Raw genomic sequence first — 25,443 nt, forward strand, 5'->3', positions numbered from 1 at the left:
CACCTGGTTCTAAGCATCTGGGCTCTGTTTTTTATTCCTTCATATGTGATGCTCATTTCATTAACCAGATTGTAAGACTGTGACCAGAATGAAGGCAGGGTCTACTGCCAGTAGCTCTGGGCCTTGCTCAAGAGATGTCTGTGGAGGGCCAGACACGGTGGTTCATGCCTGTGATCCCAGAACTTTGGGAGGCTGAGGCTGGCAGATCACCTGAGGTCAGGGGTTCAAGACCAGCCTGGCCAACATGGTAAAACCTCATCTCTACTAAAAATACAAAACATTTAGCCAGGCGTGATGGCACGCACCTGTAATCCCAGCTGCTCTGGAGGCTGAGGCAGGAGACTCGCTTGAACCTGGGAGGTGGAGGTTGCAGTGAACTGCAATCATGCCACTGCACTCCAGCCTGGGTGACAAGAGCAAGACTCCATCTCAAAAAATAAACAGACAGATGACTGTGAAGAAGATCACTTAATGGGCATGATGGATGGGGGCCGCAAGCTGAAGGCTTGAGAAGGAAAGTGGGGAGGAGGAGGAAGTGGGAACAGAAGGATGAAGAGGGAAGGTGAAGAATGGGGGATGGAGAAGGTGGAGGGAGAGGTGAGGTAGGAGAGGAAAAGCAGAGGAAGTAGGATGTGGAGGGAGGAGGCCAGACAGGGGAGCCAGGGTGGAAAGGGAGGATGGAGAATGTGCAGGGAAGATGGGAGACAGGGGGTTGTGGAGGGAGGATGGGGGCGGGAGGAAAAAGGAGGAGGAAAGAGGAGAGAGAGCTTATTTCTGACCTCAGTGCTCCTCAGTCCTGGAGTTGCAACTACTGCATTCAATTCACAAAGCACATGCCAAAAACGGTTGTACTCAGCTATCTTATAATCTTACAGCTATCCGTGGTTTTGAGTTAATTATCTCTGTTAAGACTTTTTCTTTTTGCAACTGTTTTTACTGTTTACACTATTGACAATCAGAATTTTACAGCCACCTAAAGATTATGTTGTAGTCTCTATAAACCATAATAGCTTTCTTCTTTTAATCATAGTTGCCTAGCAACTAGTTCATCCTCCCACCCTGCTTTGCTCGATAAGATGTGATTGTCAGTATCTCAGTAGGAAGGAAGAAGTGAGCTGACGCTGTTATAGTAGCTTTCTGAACTCCAAACCCATGAGAGTGTATTTCCAATGTTTAAAAAATAAACTAGAATAATGGAATCATTCTGAATCCTTTGGAAGAAAGTTCGGGTTTCTTGTTTAATATAGTTTGGATATTTGTCCCCTCCAAGTCTCATGTTGAAATGTGATCCCCAGTGTCGGGGGTGGAGGCTTATGGGAGGTGTTTGGGTCGTGGGGGTGGATCCCTCATGAAGGGCTTGGTGCCCTCCCTGCAGTAACGAGTGAGTTCTCACTCTACCAGTTCATGTGACAGCTGGTTTAAAAGAGCCTCGCACCTCTCTCGCTCCTTCTCTCACCATGTAACATGCCTGCTCCCTGTTCACTTTCTGTCATGAGTAGAGGCTTCCTGAGGCCTCACCAGAAGCCACGCAGATGCTGGTGCCGTGATTGTACAGTCTGCAGAACCATGAGCCAAATAAATCTCTTTTAACAGTCACCCAGTCTCAGGTATTCCTTTATAGCAATGCAAAACGAACAGACACACTGCTCCAGTTATAATAGGTTTTGAGATACATATAATAATGGCGGTAACACTCCACAGAAGAAAGTGAGAATACCTTACCAAAATACAATGATGAATATGGGGAAGGTTCAGCATACTGAATGCTCACGATATTTGCATTACTATGGAGTACATGCCACCTCACACTTACAATGTAGGCCAGATGGTAGTGGGATTCAAGACTTTTGTCATCAGTGATGTCCTCGGCAACAAATCAGGAACACCCAGGGAAGCCCACCTCTTGCCTGTGTGTAGGACACTCAGACATCAACTCATCCCGTGGTGGCTACAGGATCCCAAGAAAGCAAGGATTCAGGGCATGGGTAGCACTGCTGGTATGGACCCATCTCAGACACAGAGCATGAGCTGAGGTCAGAAGAGCCTTTCCCATGATCCTGCCAGCCCTAGCAAGGTTGTGTACTAGCAGCTTTTCTCTGTACCTCCTGGTCTCCCTGTTATGCATTCATTCCCTGCCTTGGCGGTGATGCCATCTCATTCTGCCAGATGTCTATTATCCTTGGATCCTGTTCTTCCTCATCCTATCAAAGTCTGCACTGAGGATCTGGTGCAGTAGCACACACCTATTATCCCAGCACTTTAGGAGGCAGAGATGAGAGGACTGCTTGAGGCCAGGATTTGAGACCAGCCTGAGCAACATAGCAAGACCTCATCTCTATGAAAAAATAAGAAAATTAAGGCAGGCACGGTGGCTCACGCCTGTAATTCCAGCACTTTGGGAGGCCAAGGTGGAAGGATCACCTGGGGCCAGAAATTTAAGACCAGCCTGGGCCAGTGAGACCCCGTCGCTACAAAATAAGAAAAAAAAAAAAAAATTAGCCAGGTGTGGTGGTGTGCACCTATAGTCCCAGCTATTCAGGAGGCAGAGGCAGGAGGATCACTTGAGCTCAGCAGGTTGAGGCTGCAGTGAGCCAAGGTCACACCACTGCACTCCAGCTTGGATGACAGAACGAGACCCTGTCTTTTAAAAAATCAAGTAAATAAAAACAAAAAAATTAGCCAGGCATGGTGGCACATGCCTGCAATTCCAACTACTTTGGAGGCTGAGATGGGAGGATTGCTTGAGCCCAGGAGTTCAAGACCAGCTTGGGCAACATGTCAAAACCCTGTCTTCTCAAAAAACTGTACAAAAATAGCCAGGCATGGTGGCATACACCTGTAGTTCTAGCTACTCAGGAGCTTAGGCAGGAGGATTGCTTGAGCCCAGGAGGTCAAGGCTGCAGTGAGCCAAGATCACACCACTGCACTGCAGTCTGGGTGACAGAGCGAGAACCTGTCTCAGAAATTTTAAAAGGTTAATATGGGCCGGGCGCAGTGGCTCATGCCTGTAATCCCAGCACTTTGGGAGGGAGGCCAAGGCAGATGGATCACCTGAGGTCGGGAGTTCGAGACCAGCCTGACCAACATGGAGAAACCCCATCTCTACTAAAAACACAAAATTAGCTGGGTGTGGTGGCACATGCCTATAATCCCAGCTACTTGGGAGGCTGAGGCAGGAAAATCGCTTGAACCCATGAAGCAGTGGTTGCAGTGAGCCAAGATTGCACCATTGCACTCCAGCCTGGGCGACAAGAGCAAAACTGTCTCAAAAAAAAAAAAAAAGTTAATATGGTAAATTGCTTGTTATGTATATTTTGCCACAATAAAAAGACTCAAAAGGGGGAAACAAAGCTGGTTGGAGGAGGAAAATGAGGAGTTCTGCTTTATTTTACTTTTTTTTTTTTTTAAATAGAGATGGGGGTGGGGGTCTCACTATATTGCCCAGGCTGGTCTCGAACTCCTGGTCTCAAGCAACCCTCCTGCCCCAGCCTTCCAAAGGAATGGGATTACAGGTGCGAACCACCACACCCAGCCAGGAGTTTTGTTTTAAACTTGATAAATATGAGATTTACACACTTGTCAACTCCAAGAATAAATGTCCTGTGGAGAGAGAAAGGTAAGGAGCTGGGATGTAGGCAGGAGCCAGGGATGAACACGTGGAGATGGTGAAGTCTTGCAGTTAGTTTAGGTCACATGCATGCCCAAATGTGCCTGATACTCATGTTAAAGATGCTTCTTGCTGTTCTCCAGGGAAATGGCTTCTTCAACCAATTCATAAGGAATCCTATCAAAATGGGTGCCATTTAGCAATCAAGAAATTGGCAATTGCTGTTAAGAGGGTTATAAAGCTATAAAAATACTTCAGAGAACAACCACAAAAGTAAGTGAGCCACACAACATAGAAAATAAAAGTGATGAATCTGATAGAAAAATATATATACATTTTTTTGAAACAGTCTTACTCTGTCACAGTGGCGCAATCTCAGCTTACTGCAACCTCCTCCTCCCAGATGCAAGTGATTCTCCTGCCTCAGCCTCCCAAGCAGCTGGGAGTAGCTGGGACTACAGGCGCACACCACTACACCCAGCTAATTTTTTGTATTTTTAGTAGAGATGAGGTTTCACCATGTTGGTCAGGCTGGTCTTGAACTCCTGACCCAGTGATTCACCTGCCTCAGCCTCCCAAAGTGCTGGGATTACAGGCATGAGCCACTGGGCCCGGCTGAAAAATAATAATTTTTAAAATTCTGTTTATAAAATAATTTTTAAAAACAAAGTGGATAGGAATACATTTTATAAGAAATGTGCAGTACTGACATTAGTTATAAAATGTTGCTGAGAAAAATAAAAAGAAATAAATTGGGAAATACACTTAAAGCAGGGCAAGAATACTCAGTATTACAAAGATACTGATTCTCTCTACATTATTAGCCTATAATGTCAACAAAATCTCAAACTCTCATAGGATTTTTCTTTTTTTTTTTTGAGACAGAGTTTCATTATGTTGCCCAGGCTGGAGTAAAGTGGTGTGATCTTGGCTCACTGCAACCTCCACCTCCTGGGTTCAAGTGATTCTCGTGCCTCGGCCTCCCAAGTAGCTGGGATTACAGGTGTCTGCCACGAAGCCTGGCTAGTTTTTGTATTTTTAGTAAAGACAGAGTTTCATCATGTTGGCCAGGCTGGTCTCGAACTCTTGGCCTCAGGTGACCCACCCACCTCGGCCTCCCAAAGTACTGGGATTACAGATGTGAGCCACCACACCCGGCGGATTTTATTTTATTTTAATTAACTAATTTATTTATTTTGAGGGGAAGGTGGGAGTAGATCTTAATAAAGTGGCTCCAAAATTTTTCTAGTAAAATAAGCCTGAAAATATAGCTTGGAAAATTCTGAAAAAGATGTTTGACCAGGGGAATTTACCCTATCAGAAATGAAAAGTATATTATAAAATACTATAATTAAAACAGTGTCATATCATACCAATAACAGACCTGTCTATCCTTTTCTTGACAACTTGAAACATTCTCTTTATCATATAATAAATCCCCATATATACTTGAATCTACAAATCTATCATTAGAACAGATTGTTCAAAAATAGATTCAAATATATAATGAATGGATTATTCAAAATATATACATCATGGGCTGGGCGTGGTGGATGCATGTAATCTCAGCACTTTGGGAAGTTGAGGTGGGTGTATCACTTGAGGCCAGGAATTCGAGGCCAGCCTGCCCAACATGGTGAAACCCCAACTCTACTAAAAATACAAAAATTAGTTAGGTGTGGTGGTACAAGCCTGTAATCCCAGCTACTCAGGAGGCTGAAGCATGAAAAACACTTGAACTCAGGAGGCAGAGGTTGCAGTGAGCCAAGATCACTCCACTGCATGCCAGCCTAGGTGACAGAGCAAGACTCCATCTCATATATATATATATAGATAGATAGATAGATATATATATATAGATATAGATATAGATATAGATAGATATATATATATATATATAGATAGATAGATACACACACCTACATACATACACACACACACCCCCCAGAGCAACTGGTTAGTCATGTGGATATAACAAAGCTAAATCTGTACTGTGTTTCTTGTACCCAATTAAACCCACAGAGATCTAACATTTAAATATTAAGAATAAAACCAAATCGGCCAGACGTAGTGGCTCATGCCTGTAATTCCAGCACTTTGGGAGGCCAAGGCAGGCAGATCACTTGAGGTCAGGAGTTCGAGACCAACCTGGCCAACATGGTGAAACGCCATCTCTACTAAAAATACAAAAACTAGCCAGGCATGGTGGCGGGCACCTGTAATCCCAGCTACTCAGGAGGCTGATGCAGGAGAATCGCTTGAACCCAGGAGGCAGAGGTTGCAGTGAGCCAAGATCGTGCCACTGCACTCCAGCCTGGCCAAGAGAGCGAGCCTCCATCTCAAAAAATAAAAAATAAAATAAATAAAAAATAAAACAAATTGGCCGGGTGTTGTGGCTCACACCTGTAATCTCAGCATTTTCCAAGGTAAATGCAGGTGGATCACTTGAGGTCAGGAGTTTGAGAACAGCCTGGCTAACATGGTGAAACCCCATCTCTACTAAAATATAAAAATTAAGTGGGTGTGGTGGCCCTTGCCTGTAATCCCAGCTACTTGAGGGGCTAAAGCAGGAGAATCGCTTGGACCCAGGAAGGGGAGGTTTCAGTGTGCCGAGATGGCGCCACTGTACTCTAGCCTGGGCAGCAGATTGAGACTCCACCTCAAAAAAAAAAAAAAAAAAAAAGTATAAAACCAAATTAACACAATAGAAAGGAGATGCAAAAAACTCATTAGTAATAAAAACTGCAAAAGTCAATAAAAATGTTAATAAATCTAAATAAATACTGGCTCCAAAATAATGACAATTTAGAAAAACTTATGAACAAAGTGTAACTGAAATCCTGGGCAAACAAGATTTGGAAGACAATAATTGGCAAGATCATATTTAGCGTCCTTGTATTGTCTAGCTTGCGAGGTCAAGATTGCAGTGAACTATGATTGCACCACTGCACTCCCGCTGGGTGACAGGGTGAGACCCCATCACAAAAAACAGCTAAAATAAAAGTTGAAATTATAAAAAAACAAAATAAACTTAAGTTCAAAGAAAAAAAAATAGAATTTAAGGTCCAAAGCCATATAAATGAGAGAGGAGAAAGAAAAAACCAGTTACCAGATAAAGGTAAAGGTAGCAAATAATATTAAATATTGCAAATGTGTGTTTCCAATAGCTAAGGGCTACCTCTAGAATAAAAGAAAGTACATTAATTCCAAGTTAATAAAAGGAAGTGCAGGGGAGGGAAAGGCAAACTCAATCTAATAGAAGTTAGTCAAGGAGACAAGGAAAGACATGATTCAGAAGAAACACAAAATATCTTCCTGAAACTGTGCACACAAATAAGAAGAAATACAAAATAAATAACAGGCCAGGCACAGTGGCTCATGCCTGTAATCCCAACACTTTGGAAGGCTGAGGCAGGTGGATCACCTGAGGTCAGGAGCTCAAGACCAGCCTGGCCAAAATGGCAAAACCCCACCTCTACTAAAAAAATACAAAAATTAACTGGGCATGGTGGCATATGCCTGTAGTCCCAGCTACTTGGGGGGCTGAGGCAGGAGAATTGCTTGAACCTAGGAGGCGAAGGTTGCAGTGAGCTGAGATCCCATCACTGCACTCCAGCCTGGGCAACAGAGCAAGATTCTGTCTCAAAAAATATATAAATAAATAAAAATAAATGAAAGAAGCCCACATATGCCAGGAGAAGTAAGTGGGTCCAACTCATTATTAAAAGAATATCGGCTGGGCACAGTGGCTCATGCCTGTAATCCCAGCACTTTGGGAGGCTGAGGTGGGTGGGCCACATGAGGTCAGGAGTTCAAGACCAGCCTGGCCAACATTGTGAAACCCTGTCTCTATTAAAAAAACGAAAGTTATTTGGGCGTGGTGGCGGGTGCCTGTAATCCCAGCTACTTGGGAGGCCGAGGCAGGAGAATCGCTTGAACCTGGGAGGCAGAGGTTGCAGAGACTGTGCCTCTGCACTACAGCCTGGGCGACAGAGGGAGACTCCGTCTCAAAAAAAAAAAAAGAAAAGAAGAGAAAAGAATGGGAAGGAAAGGAAAAGGAAGGGGGAAAAAAATCACCTATAGCTTTACAAGAGATACTTTGAGACAGGGTCTCGCCCTGTTGTCCGGGCTACTAAAATACAGGGTCCAGTACAGCAGTGCGATCATAGCTCACTGCAGCCTTGACATCCTAGGCTCAAGCCTCCATAGCTCACTGTAGCCTCAACCTCCTGGACTCAAGCAACCCTCCTGCCTCAACCTCTGAAATAGCTAGTTGGGACTACAGGTGTGCGCCACTATGCCTGTTTTTTTTTTTTAGCGGGGAGCGGTAAAAAGGGGTCCTGTTTTGATGCCCAGGCTGGTCTCAAAATCTTGGCCTCAAGTGATCTTCTCATTTCAGCCTCCCAAAGTGCTGGGATTACAGGCCTGAGCTATCTCACACCCGGACTCAAGAAATACATTTAAAGCAAAGCAGTGTAGAAAGACTAAAAATAAAGAGCTGAAAAAAGATGCACATGGAAAATACTAACCAAAGCTACTTTCAACATGTTAACATGAGAGAAAATAGAATTTAAGGCTCTTCATTCTCAAAGACAATGATTTTTTTTTAACTTTTTTTTTTATATTTATTTATGTTTTGAGATGGAGTTTCGCTCTTGTTGCCCCAACTGGAGTGCAATGGTGCCATCTCGGCTCACCGCAATCTCTGCCTCCCGGGTTCAAGCATTTCTACTGCCTCAGCCTCCCGAGTAGCTGGGATTACAGGCATGTGCCACCATGCCTGGCTAATTTTATATTTTTACTAGAGTCAGGGTTTCTCTGTGTTGGTCAGGCTGGTCTGAAACTCCCAACCTCAGGTGTAACTCCCGACCTCAGGTAATCCACCCACCTCAGTCTCTCAAAGTGCTGGGATTACAGGCGTGAGCCACTGCACCCAGCTTTTTAAAAAATTTTTAAACAGATTAAGGCAGCCACAAATAAGAATGAAATCATGTCCTTTACAACAACATGGATGCAGCTGGAGTCCATTATCCTAAGAAAATTAATGCAGGAACAGAAAGCCAAATACCATATGTTCTCACCTTTAAGTGGGAGCTCAACATTGGGTACTCATGGACATAAAGAGGACAGCAATAGACACTGCAGACTACTAGAGTGGGGAGGGAAAGGGCAAGGGCTGAGAAACTAACTATTGGGTACTATGCTCACTGCCTGGATGACAGGATCAATCATACCCCAAACCTCAGCATCATGCAATAGACCCATGTAACAAACCCACACATGTACCCCCTGAATCTAAAATAAGAGTTGACTGGGTTACAGTGGTTCACACCTGTAATCCCATAAATTTGGGAGGCCAAGGAGGGAGGACTGCTTGACCCCAGGAGTTCAAGACTGGCCTGAGCAACAAAGCAAGACTCCATGTTTACAAGAAATTTAAAAATTAGCTGGGTATGATGGCGCACACCTATGGTCCTAGCTATTCTGGAGGCTGAGGTAGGAGGATCGAGCCTGGAAGGTCAAGGCTACAGTGAGCTATGACAGTACTACTGCACTCCAACCGAGGTGACAGAGTGAGACCCCATCACAAAAAATAACTCAATAAAAGCTGAAATTATTAAAAAAAAAAAAAAAACTTAAATTCAGTTTAGACAACTACAACAAAAAAAAAAATGTAAGGTCCAAAGCCATATAAGGATAAAGAAATACTTCAAGTAATAAGACTAATGCATGGACAAAAATCAATCATATGCTAGAATGCAATGAAAAGACAGCCTCAGCTGGGCGCGGGGCCTCACGCCTGTAATCCCAGCACTTTGGGAGGCCGAGGAGGGCGGATCACCTGAGGTCAGGAGTTTGAGACCAGCCTGACCAACATGGCGAAACCCCATCTCTACTAAAAACACAAATATTAGCCAGCCATGATGGCAGGCGCCTGTAATCCCAGCTCCTCAGGAAGCTGAGACTGGAGAATCGCTTGAACCCAGGAGGCAGAGGTTGCAGTGAGCCAAGATCATGCCACTACACTCCAGCCTGGATGACAAGAGCGAAACTCCATCTCAAAAAAAAAAAAAAAAAGATAACCTCAAAATTTATGAAATATACCCTATTAGGCCTATAAGGAGAAATGGAGAAAGTCATTGTCTTTTTGAAAAACTGTTAACTCAAGAGGCAAAAATCTAGACGTATCAAATATATATATGTTATATATATATATATATATAACATATATATATAACATATATATAGTCAATGAGTGTGTATGTATATATAGTCAATGGGTATATACAGTCAATGAGTATATATGTATGTGTATACACACACACACACACACACACACGTACATATATACTCAAGGAGAACACAGATTCTTTTTAAACACTCTTGTGACATTAACAAGAAGTCCCTATATAGAGGACAAATAGAAAGTTTCAATAAATTCCAAATAACAACATCCTCTTAACCAAAATACAGTTACATTATAATAACATAGCTAACAGATAATTCAGTGGTTTAAAAAATAAATCTTGAGAAATAGAAATACATTTACTCTTGAGACATGAATGTAGCTAATTGTTTATTAAAAATAAAAAACACTGAAAATAAATGATCATCTAAGTATTGAACTCAACAAGCTAGAACAAAAAAAGTCAAAGAAAATAAAACGGAAATTAGCCAAAAAAAAAAAAAAAAAAATCAATAAAGAGAATGGACCCCGCCCCCGCAAAAGCTTGTTGTTTGAAGTCTAATGAAATACACAAACTTCTAGTAAGCTGGACCAAGAAAAGAGAGAAAGCACAAATAAACAGTATTAAAAATAAAAAGGGCACATTATCGCATAGATTTTTAAAATTCAGAACACTGAAAACATTATATCAATAAATTTGAAAACCCAGATAAATTAAATAATTTTCTTTAAAATATATATAACCAAGGCTGGGCACGGTGGCTCACACCTGTAATCCTAGCACTTTGGGAGCCTGAGGTGGGCAGATCTCTTGAGCTCGGGAGTTCAAGATCAGCCTGGGCAACATGGTGGAAACACTGTCTCTACAAAAAACACAAAAAATTAGCCGGGTGTTGGTGGCTCGCACTGATAGTCCTAGCTACTCAGGAGGCTGAGGCAGGAGGATCACTTGAACCCAGGAGGCAGAGGTTGCAGTAAGCCGAGATCACGCTACTACACTCCAGCCTGGACGATAGAGCGAGACTCCTACCTCCAAAAAAAAAAAAAAAAAAAGAAGAAACAAAATTTTTAATAATAATATATATAACCAAAATTGACTCAATCAAAAGTATAAACAAAAGTAGACTGTAACCTTTAAATAAATTGAATCGTAGTTTTTTAAAAACTCCTCTGCCCAGGATGTAGTGAAACTGGATCCCTTGTGCACTGTTGGTGGGAATGTAAAATGGTTCAGCTGCTGTAGAACACAGTATGGTGATTCCTCAAAAAAATTAAACATAGAATTATCACAGGATCCAGCAATTCCACATCTGGGTATATATCCAGAAGAATTGAAAGTGAGGCCTTGGCCAGGTGCGGTGGCTCACGCCTGTAATCCCAGCACTTTGGGAGGCCGAGGAGGGCGGATCACGAGGTCAGGAAATCGAGACCATCCTGGTCAACATGGTGAAACCCCGTCTCTACTAAAAATACAAAAATTAGCTGGGCATGGTGGCAGGCGCCTGTAGTCCCAGCTACTTGGGAGGCTGAGGCAGGAGAATTGCTTGAACCAGGGAGTCGGAAGTTGCAGTGAGCCAAGATCACGCCACTGCACTCCAGCCTGGGCAAGAGTGAGACTCCATCTCAAAAAAAAAAAAAAAAAAAAGAAAGTGAGGCCTTGAAGAGCTACCTGGTCACCCGTGTTCATAGTAGCATCAGTCAATAGCTGAACAGTAGAAGTGTTCATCAACAAACACATAAGCAAAACGTGGCCTATCCATACAATGAAATATTATTCAGCCTTAACAAGGAAGAAAATTCTGACCTATGCTACATGGATGAACCTTAAGGACATTATGCGAAATGAAATGAACCAGTCACAAAAAGACAAACACTGTATGATTCTACGTGTGAGGGATCTAGAATAGTCAATTTTATAGAGACAAACAATAGGATAGTGGTTTTTAGAGGGTGGGGGAGGGGGAACAAAGTTTTTGTTTAATGAGTATAGAATTTCAGCTTTGTTAAGATGAAGAGTTCTGGAGATGGATGGTGGTTATGGTTTCATGACAATACAAATGTACTTAATATCACTGAACTGTACATTTAAAAACTGTTAAGATAATAAATTATATGTTATGTATATTTTACCACAATTTAGACACGCCTATAATCCCAGCACTTTGGGAGGCCGAGGCAGGTGGATCACGAGGTCAAGAGATCAAGACCATCCTGGCCAACATGGTGAAACCCTGTCTCTACTAAAAACACAAAAATAGCTGGGCATAGTGGCGGGCACCTGTAGTCCCAGCTACTCGGGAGGCTGACACAGGAGAATCACTTGAACCCGGGAGGTAGAGGTTGCAGTGAGCTGAGATCGTGCCACTGCACTCCAGCCTGGTGACAGAGCAAGACTCCATCAAAAAAAAAAAAAAAAAAAAAAAAAAAAAGGAACTCTCTGCTCAACGATGTCTTGCTATTCTCCAACCACTCAAAATAGATATCAGGTCAAACTACTCTAGAGCCAATTTCACCAAATGTTCAAAGAGGTTAACACCTACCTTATAGAAACTATTTCAGAGATATGAAAAAAGTCATGTAATGAGGTTTATAACCTTCCTAACAAAATAAAACAAGGCCAGTACAAAAAAGAAAACAATCTCCCATCTATTGACAATGATGCCAAATCATGTTATTAGCTCTGCAAGGTGGGTGTTATTATTCCCATTTTATTGATAAGAAAAACAAAGATAGGTAACTCACTAGGCTCCCATGGCTCACAGTGAAAATGAATGTAGCCTCACATCTTTCCTGGCCATCGCCCTGCCTCTCAGACAGGACTAGAGAACAAGGGTCCCCCCTCCCTCCAGCCTTCCACAACTGAGGGGATTTCCCAGTGGCCACTGGTGATAGGAGAAGACCTCGGGGGCCAGCACTCACCAGGACGGGCTCCACCAGCTTCCCCTCCGGCATGACCGAGCGGTTCATCTTGGCAACGCGCTCCAGAGTGGCCAGGGCAGCCCGAGTGTTCCCAGTGGAGACATTGAACCGGGCAGATTCAGGAATAAACTGGGTAGAGATTACAAAGAACATCAGAGTGGCCACTGCTATAGAACCCAGGGGTACAGCTATTATTGCTCTATACACTACAGTCCTAGTTTCCCAAGATAGGAAAAGTATGTAACCAGCTTAAAGGCATGCAATGTAGCAGGTATTCTGTTGGATTCAAAGTTGATTTGGAACAAAAAAGGTCATGTTCTCCTTATCATAGTCCCTTCCAGGATGACGGCAGGCTGATACTCAGTTTTGCACCAATAGGGCCCAACCTAGTTGTTGACATAATGAAATTCTCACTTTCAATTGTTAAATAGCCACTGCTGCGGGCACCCCTCTCCACCCCCTCCCCCTCTCCAGGAACCCCAGGACCTCCCCACCATGCAACCACCAAAGGGTGACAGGAACAGGGGGCTCCAGCACCCACACGGTGGAGGAATCAGTTCTGATTGTGAAGGCTCTCAACCCACTGAATACTGAATATTTTGAACATCGCACGCAGAAAACATTATGGACTTCCACTGAAGCTCGAGAATCAACTCTGACCACCTCCCGTCTCTCACGCCTCACGCAATCAAGGCTGTTGGCTCTTCCTCAGAAAAGCACCTCCACAGCAGCACCTGGCCCCACATTCCCATGGCCAGAGGGCAGTTTGGGTCCCCCTGTTGGTTATTCTGACACTTGATTTTCCAGCCTTTTTCCTCTTGCCTCATGCCCAGCCTCCACAGCAATATGCCAGCTTCCTAGCACATAATCTCTTCCACAATCAGAAGTCACCTCCTTCAACACCTCCACAATCCCTTTAAAACAGTCCAGAGATCTTTTTATTTTTTGCAGTTAATATGCCACGAATTCATAGGGAGAAGATTCCAGCAGCTCAGGCTCCCCGCCATGGTTCTCACAAATGTGCCTCTCTGGGTGGAACAGGACTGGTGCTTCAGCCGAACCCAGGTATACTTCCCTTCGGCTTCCTTGTTTTTTTGTTTCGTTTTGTTTTGTTTTTTGAGATGGAGTCTCGCTCTGTCGCCCAAGCTGAGTGCAGTGGTGCAATCTCAGCTCACTGCAACCTCCACCTCCCGGGTTCAAGCAATTCTCCTGCCTCAGCCTCCTGAGTAGTTGGGATTACAGGCACGCACCACCACGCCTGGCTAATTTTTGTATTTTTAGTAGAGATGGGGTTTCACCATGTTGGCCAGGCTGGTCTCGAACTCCTGACCTAGTGATCCACCCACCTCAGCCTCCCAAAGTGCTGGGATTACAGGCGTGAGCTACCGCGCCCGGCTGGCTTGTTTTTCTGATCATTTTCTGCACGAGTTTCAGGAAGCTATCTCGGCTCCTAGAGTGCTTAGTGTACTCAATATGCGCATCAATTCCCTTGACAAGAATCTGGCCCATAACCTGTTTGTTTACAACAATGCCAACAGCAAGCTGCGTAGCATCATAGACTCCTCCAGTTCTGCCACAGTAACACCTGGGGGCATTCCTTTTAAACAGCGCCCATCCCCTTGATGTCTACAATATCACCTTCTTACAGATTCATAGGTATGTGGCCAAAGGAACAACTCCATGTTGTCTAAGAGGTCTGGTGACCTCTCCTCTTTCCCTTTGTGTAGGTCATTTTGGTGACTTACTGGAAGATGGCAGTTCTGGTCAAAAGGAAGCCCTTTGTGTTGGTTTTTGTTGTTGTTGGTTTTTTGTTTTTTTGAGAGACAGAGTCTTGCTCTGTTGCCCAGTCTAGAAGGCAGTGGCGCAATCATAGCTGACTGCAGCCTTGACCAACCAGGCCCGAGCAACCCTCCCATCTCAGCCTCCTGAGTAGCTGGGACCACAGGCACGGACCACAACACCCAGCTAAAATTTTTATTTTTAATAGAGATGGGGTTCTGCCATGTTGCCCGGGCTGGTCTTGAACTCCTGGGCTCAAGCGATCCTCCTGCCTTGGTTTTCTAAAGTGCTGGGATTACAAACATGAGCCACCATGTCTGGCCAGCAGAAAGTCTTAGACTACACCAACAGAGGCAGACAATCTGCCCACAGGAAGCAAGTGGCTTACTAAGCTCACTGGTCCCCGAGCACCTGGGGCCTGTGTGTGATTCTCAGCAAAAGTGCACTGCATAGAAGGCACTGGCCAACTGGGCTTGTCCAGAAGAAAATGGACATGGCTCTGGGGCCAGCTGTCATGAGGAAGACTTGAAGGTAATGACATTGCTTAGAGAAGGAAAGGCTTAGGGGCCATAGATTCATACATATTTAAGAGGATGATGGCCGGGCGCAGTGGCTCACACCTGCAATCCCAGCACTTTGGGAGGCCGAGGTGGGCAGATCACGAGGTCAGGAGGTTGAGACCAGCCTGGCCAACATGGTGAAACCCCATCTCTACTAAAAATACAAAAATTAGCTGGGTGTGGTGGCACGCACCTGGCACCTATAGTCCCAGCTACTCTGGAGGCTGAGGCAGGAGAATTGCTTGAACCCGGGAGGCAGAGGTTGCGAAGAGCTGAGATCGCACCATTGCACTCCAGCCTGGGCAACAAGAGTGAAACGCCATCTCAAAAAAGAAAAATGAAAAAAAGATGACATGGCGAGAAGATAGCTCTATGGTCTTCCTGAGAGACAGAGTAGGACCTGCAGGTAAATTTATAGGGAGAAAATTCTGCTCAACATAGGAAAGACTTTAACAGCTAGGGGTGCCTGGAGATGGGATATACTGTTGAAATCTATAAAGTAGTCACATGTCTGGCCGGGTGTGGTGGCTCACACCTGTAATCCCAGCCCTTTGGGAGGCTGAGGCGGGTGGATCACTAAGTCAGGAGTTCAAGACCAGCCTGGCCAACATGGTGAAACCCCATCTCTACTAAAATACAAAAATTAGTCGGGCGTGGTGGTGCAAGCCTGCAACCCCAGGTACTCAGGAGGCTGAGGCAGGAGAATCACTTGAACATGGGAGGTGGAGGTTGCAGTGAGCCGAGATTGTGCCATTGCACTCCAGCCTGGGCAATAGAGTAAGACTCCGTTTCAAAAAAAAAAAAAAAAAAAATAGTCACATGCCTGAAGCTAGCAGCTTTCTGGCAGAGACCTGCTTCTACATGGGATGCCTGTATTGAGTCGAGGTTTAGAATGAATGGCCATCAAGGACCTTTCTGAATTCTGACATTCTTTGATTCCATAGGGTAGGTGACATCAAACTAAAACCCCGGTTCTGCTGAGTGGTCAATCTTGTCTTTGAATGAGTAGAATTGTACTGCAAACTAAGGAAGATGATGATTCTACAGTTGAACAACCTACAGATGAGTGGGAGAGAAGCCTGTGGTGGCCTGGGAGTATGTCAACAGCATCCAACAGGTGGTGCTGAAGGAGAGAGTGGAGTCAGCAAAAACAGGACGGAGCCGTCAGACAAAACTTCTAGGAAGAGGGGCAACGAGGCAGGCTAAGGGAGGTGAGGGCTGCCCGCTGGTTGAGACAGACTCCTCAATAAAGGTAATAGGATGTGAGAAAGATGGCCTGGCGCGGTGGCTCATGCCTGTAATCCCAGCACTTTGTGCCAAGATGGGCGGATCACTTTAGGCCAGGAGTTCAAGATCAGCCTGTCCAATGTGATGAAACCCCTTCTCTGCTAATAATAGCACTTTGGGAGGCCGAGGCGGGTGGATCATGAGGTCAGGAGATCGAGACCACGGTGAAACACTGTCTCTACTAAAAATCCAAAAAAAAAAAAAAAAAAAAAAAAATTAGTCAGGCGCGGTGGTGGGCGCCTGTAGTCCCAGCTACTCAGGAGTCTGAGGCAGGAGAATGGCGTGAACCCGGGAGGCGGAGCTTGCAGTGAGCCGAGGTCGCGCCACTGCACTCCAGCCTGGGGGACGCTGCACTCCAGCGCCACTGCACTCCAGCCGAGGTCGCGGCACTGCACTCCAGCCTGGGGAGACTCCATCTCAAAAAAAAAAATTAGCTGGGTATGGTGGCACATGACTGTAATCCCAGCTACTCGGGAGGCTGAGGCAGGAGAATCACCTGAACCTGGGAGGCAGAGGCTGCAGTGAGCCGAGATTGCACCTCTGCACTGCAGCCTGGACAACAAAGAGAGACTCTGTCTCGAGGGGGAAAATAAAAGATATTTGTGGGGCATGAAGGCCACTGGACCAGCAGGAGGAGGGGACAGGAAGGAGCCACAAGTGCTTCCCCACCTTGAAGGCCACGATGAGGATGATGCCCGGGATGGAGGCGACGCGAATGAGCCAGCGCCACCCGATGGTGGGGATGATCACAGAGGCCAAGCCAATGATGAGCAGGGAGCCCGCAAGCCAGAACACCTAGGAAGAGAGAAGTCCAGGATTAAAGTTCTTTGGGGAATTATGACAATGAAAAAAAAAAAGGAAAAATATATATTTTTAGAAAGATTAAAATTCCTTCTGTCCCATGTGCTTCACATATCTTCTTTTGGGAGCCACTTTGTCCAGCATTTTGCCTTTTGTTTTGTTTTGTTTTGAGACAGGGTCCACTCTCTCACCCAGGCTGGAGTGCAGTGATCCAACCTCGGCTCACTGAACCCTCTGCCTCCTGGGTTCAAATGATTCTCATGCCTCAGCCTCCCGAGTAGCTGGGATTATAGGCATGTGCCACCACGCCCAGCTCATTTTTTTTGTATTTTTAGTAGAGACAGGATTTCACCATGTTGGCCAGGCTGGTCTCGAACTCCTGACCTCAAATGATCCACCCACGTTAGCCTCCCAAAATGCTGGGATTACAGGTGTGAGCCGCTGAGCCTAGCCCGGGGTGACTATTTCATCACTAAAGAACTCTGTTACCAACAAAAACAAGACTATTTCAGAAAGCAGTAAGGGCTGTAAGGAAAATAGAAAAGTGTGATAGAGTGGGACTTGAGTCATCAGGGACAATATTGCTAAAGAGGCAATGAATAAGCAAGCCAGTAACAAGGCTACTGCAGTAGACCAGGTCAGTGATATAGCATTGAATGGGATTTTAGTAGTGAATGGTGAAAAAAAAGGTTGTTTGTTTGTTTTTGAGACAGAGTCTTGCTCTGTCGCCCAGACTGGAGGGCAGTGGCACAATCTCAGCTCACTGCAACCTCTGCCTCCCGGGTTCAAGCAATTCTCCTGCCTCAGCCTCCTCAGTAGCTGGCATTATAGGCGCGTGCCACCACACCCAGCTAATTTTTGTGTTTTTAGTAGAGACAGTGTTTCACCGTGTTGGTCAGGCTGGTCTCAAACTCCTGATCTCGTGATCTGCCCACCTTGGCCTCCCAAAGTGCTGGGATTACAGGCGCGAGCCACTGCATCCAGCAAAATTCTTATTTTTAATTGATACATTTTCAACAAATTGTACAAAAATTTTTTAACGGATGGATTAACACATTTTGGAGATAAAGGTGACACGGTTCACTGATGGACGTTTCGACTGAAGGTCTAATAATAGAGGGTGTGTTAGTAGGGCTTGTGATTGGGGATGAGGGACAGGGAGGGTCCGGGATGCCTCCTGAGTTTGTGTTCCAAGATCACTGAGGGGAAAGTGTTTGCTATTAACTGAAATTGGAAACAGAAATAAGAGGCTTAAGGGGAAGAAGAGATTAGTTCTGAATATCTTGTATTGAGGAGCCTGTAAGACATTCAAGTAACTATCGGGTCATTGGCTACCTAGGTCTGAAGGTTAAGGAGGCGCTCTAGGTTGTAGAGAAAGATTTTGGGGCCAGTGCGGTGGCTCATGCCTGTTATCCCAACACTTCGGAAGGCTGAGGTAGGGGAATCACTTGAAGCCAGGAGTTTGAGACTAGCCTGGGCAACAAAGCAAGACTCCATCTCCACAAAAAAAAATTTAAAAATTCACTAGGCACCATGACATGCACCTGTAGTCCCAGCTACTTAGGAGGCTGAGGTGGAAGGATCACTTGAGCCCAGGAGTTCGAGGCTGCAGGGAGCTGTGATCACACCAATGTACTCCAGCCTGGGTAACAGAGAGAGACTTTGTCTCAACAACAACAACAAAATTGTCACCTATGTTTATTAACAAAAAATAAATTTGAAAGTATTTTCCTACTGCTTTATTTATTGCCAAGTGTATAAGGCTTCAGCGGGAAGGGTCATCTTTCTCCTCGTTCCTCTGAAAAATCAGGGCTTTTGGTTAAGTGTAGATGGGACAGGGCACCTAGACTGACCTGTCTTCTGGATTCGAAACCTCTAATCAATGGCCAGCAGGGGCCTGAGGAGGGATTGAGAGCACCTAAAGGAGGCAATTTTGGCACATTCCCTCAGGTATGAGCCAGTTCTGGACTTGGAACCACCAGGATCGTTGGAAGGGAGGTAGGACAGCCTAAAGGGGTAGCAGCTGGGACCTACCACTGAAAGCTCGGTGTGGAAGAAAGTTTATCCTGGATGCATCCCTAGGCTTCTGTCATTCCAGTGAAACCGGTCATCAGACTATTTGGTTACTGTGTTCTAAATGCTATTGGATGATGATCATCCTGGGCTCAGAAAACCTTGGAATTGGACCTATGGCTTCAAGCATTCCCAGGCCTCTTTGGTTGGTACAAAATAATAGACAGTGTATCAACCGAAGAACAATCAACCAGCCAAAAATAAACATGCACAGGCACACCTCCTTTTAATCGTGCTTTGCTTTAGTGCACTTTGCAAATATTGCAATTTTTTTTTAACAAATTGAAGGTTTGTTGCAATCCTGTCTTCAGCAAGTCTATTGGTGCCATTTTCCCAATAGCATGTGCTCACTTCATATCTCTGTCACGTTTTAGTAATTCTCGCAATATTTCAAACTTTATCATTATTTTTGCATCTGTTATGGTAGTCTGTGACCCATGATTTTCTATGTATCTTCCACTACAACAATTATTTTCATTGTTTGGGGGCACCGCAAACTGCACCTGTATAAGATATGAACTCAATAGATGCTGTGGAGTCTCATGGCTCCACTTACTGGCTATTCTTTGGTTTCTCTCCTCTCCTTGAGCCTTCCTATGCCCTCAGATACAACAGTATTGAAATTTGATCAATTAGTAATCCTATAGTGGTCTCTAAGTGTTCAACTGAAAGGAAAAGTTGCGCATCTTTCTTTCTTTACCGAGACAGGGTCTCGCTCTGTTGCCCAGGCTAGAATGCAGTGGCGCAATCACGGCTCACTGCAACCTCAACTTCCCAGGCTCAAGTGATCCTCCCATCTCAGCCTGTCTAGTAGATGGAATTACAGGTTCATGCCACCACACCCAGCCAATTTTTTTTTCCCCCTCGCTCTGTCACCCAGGCTGGAGTGCAGAGACAGGATCTTGGCTCACTGCAACTTCTGCCCCCCAGGTTCAAGCGATTCTCCTGCCTCAGCCTCCTGAGCAGCTGGGATTACAGGTGCCTGGCACCACACCAAGCTAATTTTTGTATTTTTAGCAGAGACAGGGTTTCACCATGTTGGCCAAACTGGTCTCAGACTCCTAACCTCAAGTGATCCTCCTACCTCAGCCTCCCAAAGTGCTGGGATTCCAGGTGTGAGCCACTGTGTCTGGCCCGATTTTTTGATTTTTGTAGACTTGGGGCCTCACTGTGTTATCTAGGCTGGTCTCAAACTCCTGGCCTCAAGCAATCCTCCCACCTTGGCCTCCAAAGCACTGGGATCACAGGCATAAGCTGCCACACCCAGCCACATCTCTTATTTAAATCTAAAGCTAGAAATGATTAAAGCTTCATGAGGAAGGCATGTCGAAAGCTGAGGTAAGCCAAAAGCTAGGCCTGTCGTACCAAACAGGCAAGTTGTGAATGCAAAGGAAAAGTTCTTTTTTTTTTTCTTTTGAGATGGCATTCCATTCTTGTTGCCCAAGCTGGAATGCAATGGTGCCATCTCAGCTTGGCTCACTGCATGCAACCTCCGCCTCCCAGGTTCAAGTGATGCTCCTGCCTCAGTCTCCCAAGTAGCTGGGATTACAGGTGCACGCCACCACACCCGACTAATTTTTTGTATTTTTAGTAGAAACAGGGTTTCACCATGTTAGCCAGGCTGGTCGTGAACCCCTGACCTCAGGTGATCCTCCCACCTCTACCTCCCAAAGTGCTGGGATTACAGGCGTGAGCCACCGCTCCCAGCAGAAAAGTTCTTGAAGGAAATGAAAAGTGCTACCCCAGTGAACAAAAGTGGTAAGAAAGTGAAACAGCATTACGGCTGATATGGAGAAAGTCTGAGTGGTCTGGATAGATCAAAGTGCCACAACATTCCCTTAAGCCAAAGCCTAATCCACAGCAAGGCCCTAACTCTCTTCAATTATGGGAAGGCTAAGAGAGGTGGGGAAGCTGCTGAAGAAGAGTCTGAAGCTAGCAGGGGTTGGCTCGTGAGGTTTAAGGGAAGACGCTGTCTCCGTAACATAGAAGTGCAAGGTGAAACAGCAAGTGCTGCTGGAGAAGCTGCAGCAGGTCATCCAGGAGATCTAGCTAAGATCACTGGTGCAGGTGGCTACTACACTCAACAGATTTTCAGTGTAGATGAAACCACCTTGCACTGGAAGAAGATGCCATGCAGGACATTCACGGCTACAGAGGAAAAAATCAGTGCCTATTTCAAAGCTTCAAAGGACGGGCTGAATCTGTTATTAGGGGTTAATGCTCCTGGTGACTTCAAGTTGAAGCCAATGATCATCGACCATTCTGAATATCCTAGGGCCCTTAAGAATTATGCTAACTCTTGGGGCCGTGCACAGTGCCTCTTACCTGTAATTTCAGCACTTTGGGAGGCTGAGGCAACCAGATCACTTGAGGCCAGGAGTTCAAGACCAGCCTGGTCGACATGGCAAAATCTCATCTCAACTAAAGAAAAAATACAGGGCCGGGCATGGCGGCTCAGCCTGTAATCCCAGCACTTTGTGAGGCTGAGGTGGGTGGATCACAAGGTCAGGAGTTCAAGACCAACCTGGCCAACGTGGTGAAACCATGTCTCACTAAAAATACAAAAATTAGCTGGGCGTAGTGGCATGTGCCTGTAATCCCAGCTACTCAGGAGGCTGAGGCAGGAGAACCACTTGAATCTGGGAGGCAGAGGTTACAGTGAGCTGAGATCATGCCACCACACTCCAGCCTGGACGACAGAGCAAGACTCTGTCTCAAAAAAAAAAAAAAAAGAAAAGAAAAGAAAAGAAAAGAAAAAATACAAAAGTTAGCTGGGTGTGGTGGTGCACTCCTGTAATCTCAGGTACTTGGGAGGCTGAGGCGTGAGAATCTCTTGAACCCAGGAGGCAGATGTTGCAGTGAGCCAAGATTGTCCCACTGCACTCCAGCCTGGGCAATAAAGCAAGACTCCCTCAAAAAAAAAAAAAAAAAGAATCATGGTAAATCTTGCACACAAATAAACACTCAGAAGAAATAAGTCCTGGTGTTTGCTAGATCAGTAGAGTGACTATAGTTAATATTAATTGACTGTACATTTCAAAATAGCTAGAAGAGAATAATTCATAGGTTCCTAGTGTACAGAAGAGATAAGATGATGTATATCCTAATTATCCTGATTTGATTACACGAATGTATTATCACATATATACCCAAAATATGTAAATCTATGTATCAATAAAATAAATTGTTTAAATGATGCTAATCTATTCTGTTTGTTCTCTAGAAATAGAACAACAAAACCTGGATGACAGCATGTCTGTTTACAGCATGGTTTACTGAGTTTGTTTTTTTTTTTTTTTTTGAGACGGAGTCTCGCTCTGTCACCCAGACTGGAATGCTGTGGTGCAATCTTGGCTCAGTGCAACCTTCTCCTCCCAGGTTCAAGCGATTCTCCTGCCTCAGCCTCCCGAGTAGCTGGGACTACAGGCGGTTTACTATTTTAAGACTACTGTTGAGACCTACTTCTCGGAAAAAAAGGTTTTTTAAAATATTACTGCTCACCAGGCAAGATGGCTCACACCTGTCATCCCAACACTTTGGAAGGCTGAGGCAGGAGAATAGCCATGAGTTTCAGAAAAGCATGGTCAACATAGTGAGACCACATCTCCACACAACATAGTGAGACCACATTTTCACTTCCTGTTTCACTTCCTTTTTTTTTTTTTTTTTAAAAAAAAAAAGAATTCAGAGCCTGCTGGGTACAGTGGCTCATGCCTGTAATCCCAGCACTTTAGGAGGCCAAGGCGGGCAGATTGCTTGAGCTTAGGAGTTCGAGACCAGCCTAGGCAACATGGAGAAACCCCATCTCTACAAAAAATACAACAATCAGCTGGCGTAGTGATGCGCACCTGTAATCCCAGTTACTCAGGTGGCTGAGGTGGGAGGATCACTTGAGCCTGGGAGGCAGAGGTTGCAGTGAGCTGAGATCGCACCACTAAACTCCAGCCTGGGTGACAGAGCAAGACCCTGTCTCAAAAAAAAGAAAAGAAAAGAAAAATCAGAGCCAGCTGGGCACAGTGCCTCACGCCTGTAATCCCAGTACTTTGGGAGGCCGAGGCGGGTGGATCACCTGAGGTCAGGAGTTTGAGACCAGCCTGGCCAACATGGTGAAACCCCATCTCTACCAAAAATATAAAAAATTAGCTGGGCATGGTGGTGCACGTCTGTAATTCCAGCTACTTGGGAGGTTGAGGCAGGAGAATCACTTGAACCCAGGAGGCAGAGGTTGTAGTGAGCCAAGATGGCGCCATTCCACTCCATCCTGGGCAACAAGAGCGAAACTCCATTTCAAAAAATAAAATAAAAATATCAGAGCCTCACTTTTATCCTCCAAGGTGATATAAGCTACACACACGCACACACACACACACCCCTACACACACACTCTACAGTAATATATGTGCATATAAATGTATATATACTATTATATATATATTATACTAATATATTTACGTATAATTTACATATATGTACATGCAATATTAGTGTAATATATACTATATTTGTGTAATATAGATATATATTCATTTATTACTGTAATATATATTACAGGATTATATTCTTATGGATAAGCAACAAAAGTGATTTCTTGAGATGAAATCTACTCCTGGTGAAGAAGCTATGAACATTGTTGAAATTACAACAAAGAATTTAGAATATTCATAAACTTAGTTGATAAGGCAGTGGCACAGTTTGGGAGAATTGACTGCAATTTTGAAAGAGGTTCTCTACTGTGGGTCAAATGCTATCAAACAGCATTGCATCCTACAGAGAAATCTTTCAGGAAAAGAAGAAGTCCATTGATGTGGCAAACTTCATTGTTATCTTTTTTTAAGGAATTGCCACAGCCACCTCAATGTTCAGCAACCGCCACCCTGATCAGCCAGCAGCCATTAACACTGAGGCAAGAACTTCTACCAGCAAAAAGATTATGACTCTCTAAAGGCTCAGAAGATCATTAGAATTTATCAGCAATCAAGTATTTTAAAATTAAGGTGTGTACATTGCTTTTTAGGCATGATGCTACTGCACACTTACTAGACTTTAGTATAGTGTAAACATAACATTTACATGCACTGAGAAACCAAAAAGGTTGTGTGACTCACTTTATTCTGATACTCGCTTAATTGCAGCGAGCTGGTACCAAACCAGCAGTATTTCCAAGGTATGCCTATATGTACATCTTATCCCATAGGATGCCAAAGGCAGGTAGAACTCCTACGTTGCCTTACCTGAGACAAGGGTAACATATAGCCTCGGTATTTCGTGGGCAAAAATTCAGTCTTTATGATTAACCTAAACAGGAAGCAGGAAAAAGCATAATTTTGTTTTAAAAAACTAAATCATCTTTTAAAAAATAATCAGTTTTTCTTGTCACAGGGATAAAGAATTCAAAAGCATAGAAGTTGATTATATATCAGAAGAGAATTATGACAGCTAATATCCACATAAGAGAACAGTAAGAACGAAACTGACAATTGCTCCTGGGTTTACATCTTTACTCCCAATACTTTAAACCTTCTAACACTTAAGAAATATAAGCCTGGCCAGGTGTGGTGGCTCACACCTGTAATCTCTGCACTTTGGGAGGCCAAGGTGGGTGGATCACCTGAGGTCAGGAGTTCGAGACCAGCCTGGACAACATGGAAAAACCCCGTTTCTACTAAAAATACAAAATTAGCTGGGTGTGGTGGCGCATGCCTGTAGTCCCAGCTACTCAAGAGCCTGAGGCAGGAGAATCACCTGAGCCCAGGAGGTGGAGGTTGTGGTGAGCCAATATTGTGCCATTGCACTCCAGCAACAAGAGCGAAACTCCATGTTGAAAAGACAAAAAAAAAAAGAAATATAAGCCTTATCTGTTTTGCCAAGGGAAGCACTGGCAAAATGTTTTCCCAAGCCTGATTCCCTTTTCTTATTTGTTTATTTATTTATTTATTTATTTATTTATTTATTTATTTTAGAGACAAGGTCTGGCTGTCTCCCAGGTTGGAGTACAGTGGTTTGATCACAGCTCGCTGCAGCCTCAAACTCCTGGGCTCAAGAGATCTTCTCACCTCAGCCTCCCAAGTGGCTGGGATTACAGGTGCTCACCACCACACCCAGCTAATTTTTAAATTTTTTGTAGAGATGGGACCTTGCTGCATTGCCAATCCTGGCCTCAAGCAACTGTTGCACCTTGGTTTCCTAAAGGGCTGGGATTATAGGGGTGAGCCACTGCACTCAGCCTGATT

The 25,443-nt window shown here is 44.6% G+C and overlaps 1 protein-coding gene and 1 pseudogene across 10 annotated transcripts in view; both read right to left on the reverse strand.

The window, feature by feature from the left end:
* Positions 1–25,443, reverse strand: part of SVOPL (SVOP like) — a 107,078-nt gene that overhangs the window by 37,719 nt on the left and 43,916 nt on the right. For all 10 annotated transcript variants that reach the window (NM_001139456.2, XM_011515797.3, XM_024446655.2 and 7 more), the window contains 3 exons: positions 24,445–24,508; positions 17,009–17,134; positions 12,714–12,842 (listed from right to left, as the gene is read on the reverse strand). In NM_001139456.2, coding sequence (NP_001132928.1) covers positions 12,714–12,842; positions 17,009–17,134; positions 24,445–24,508 — 319 coding nt within the window. The remainder of the gene's footprint in view (positions 1–12,713; positions 12,843–17,008; positions 17,135–24,444; positions 24,509–25,443) is intronic.
* RPL21P73 (ribosomal protein L21 pseudogene 73) lies at positions 14,094–14,487 on the reverse strand (annotated as a pseudogene).

The sequence above is a fragment of the Homo sapiens genome, chromosome 7, assembly GCF_000001405.40.
Source record: "Homo sapiens chromosome 7, GRCh38.p14 Primary Assembly".
In the NCBI taxonomy this organism is placed as follows: domain Eukaryota; kingdom Metazoa; phylum Chordata; class Mammalia; order Primates; family Hominidae; genus Homo; species Homo sapiens.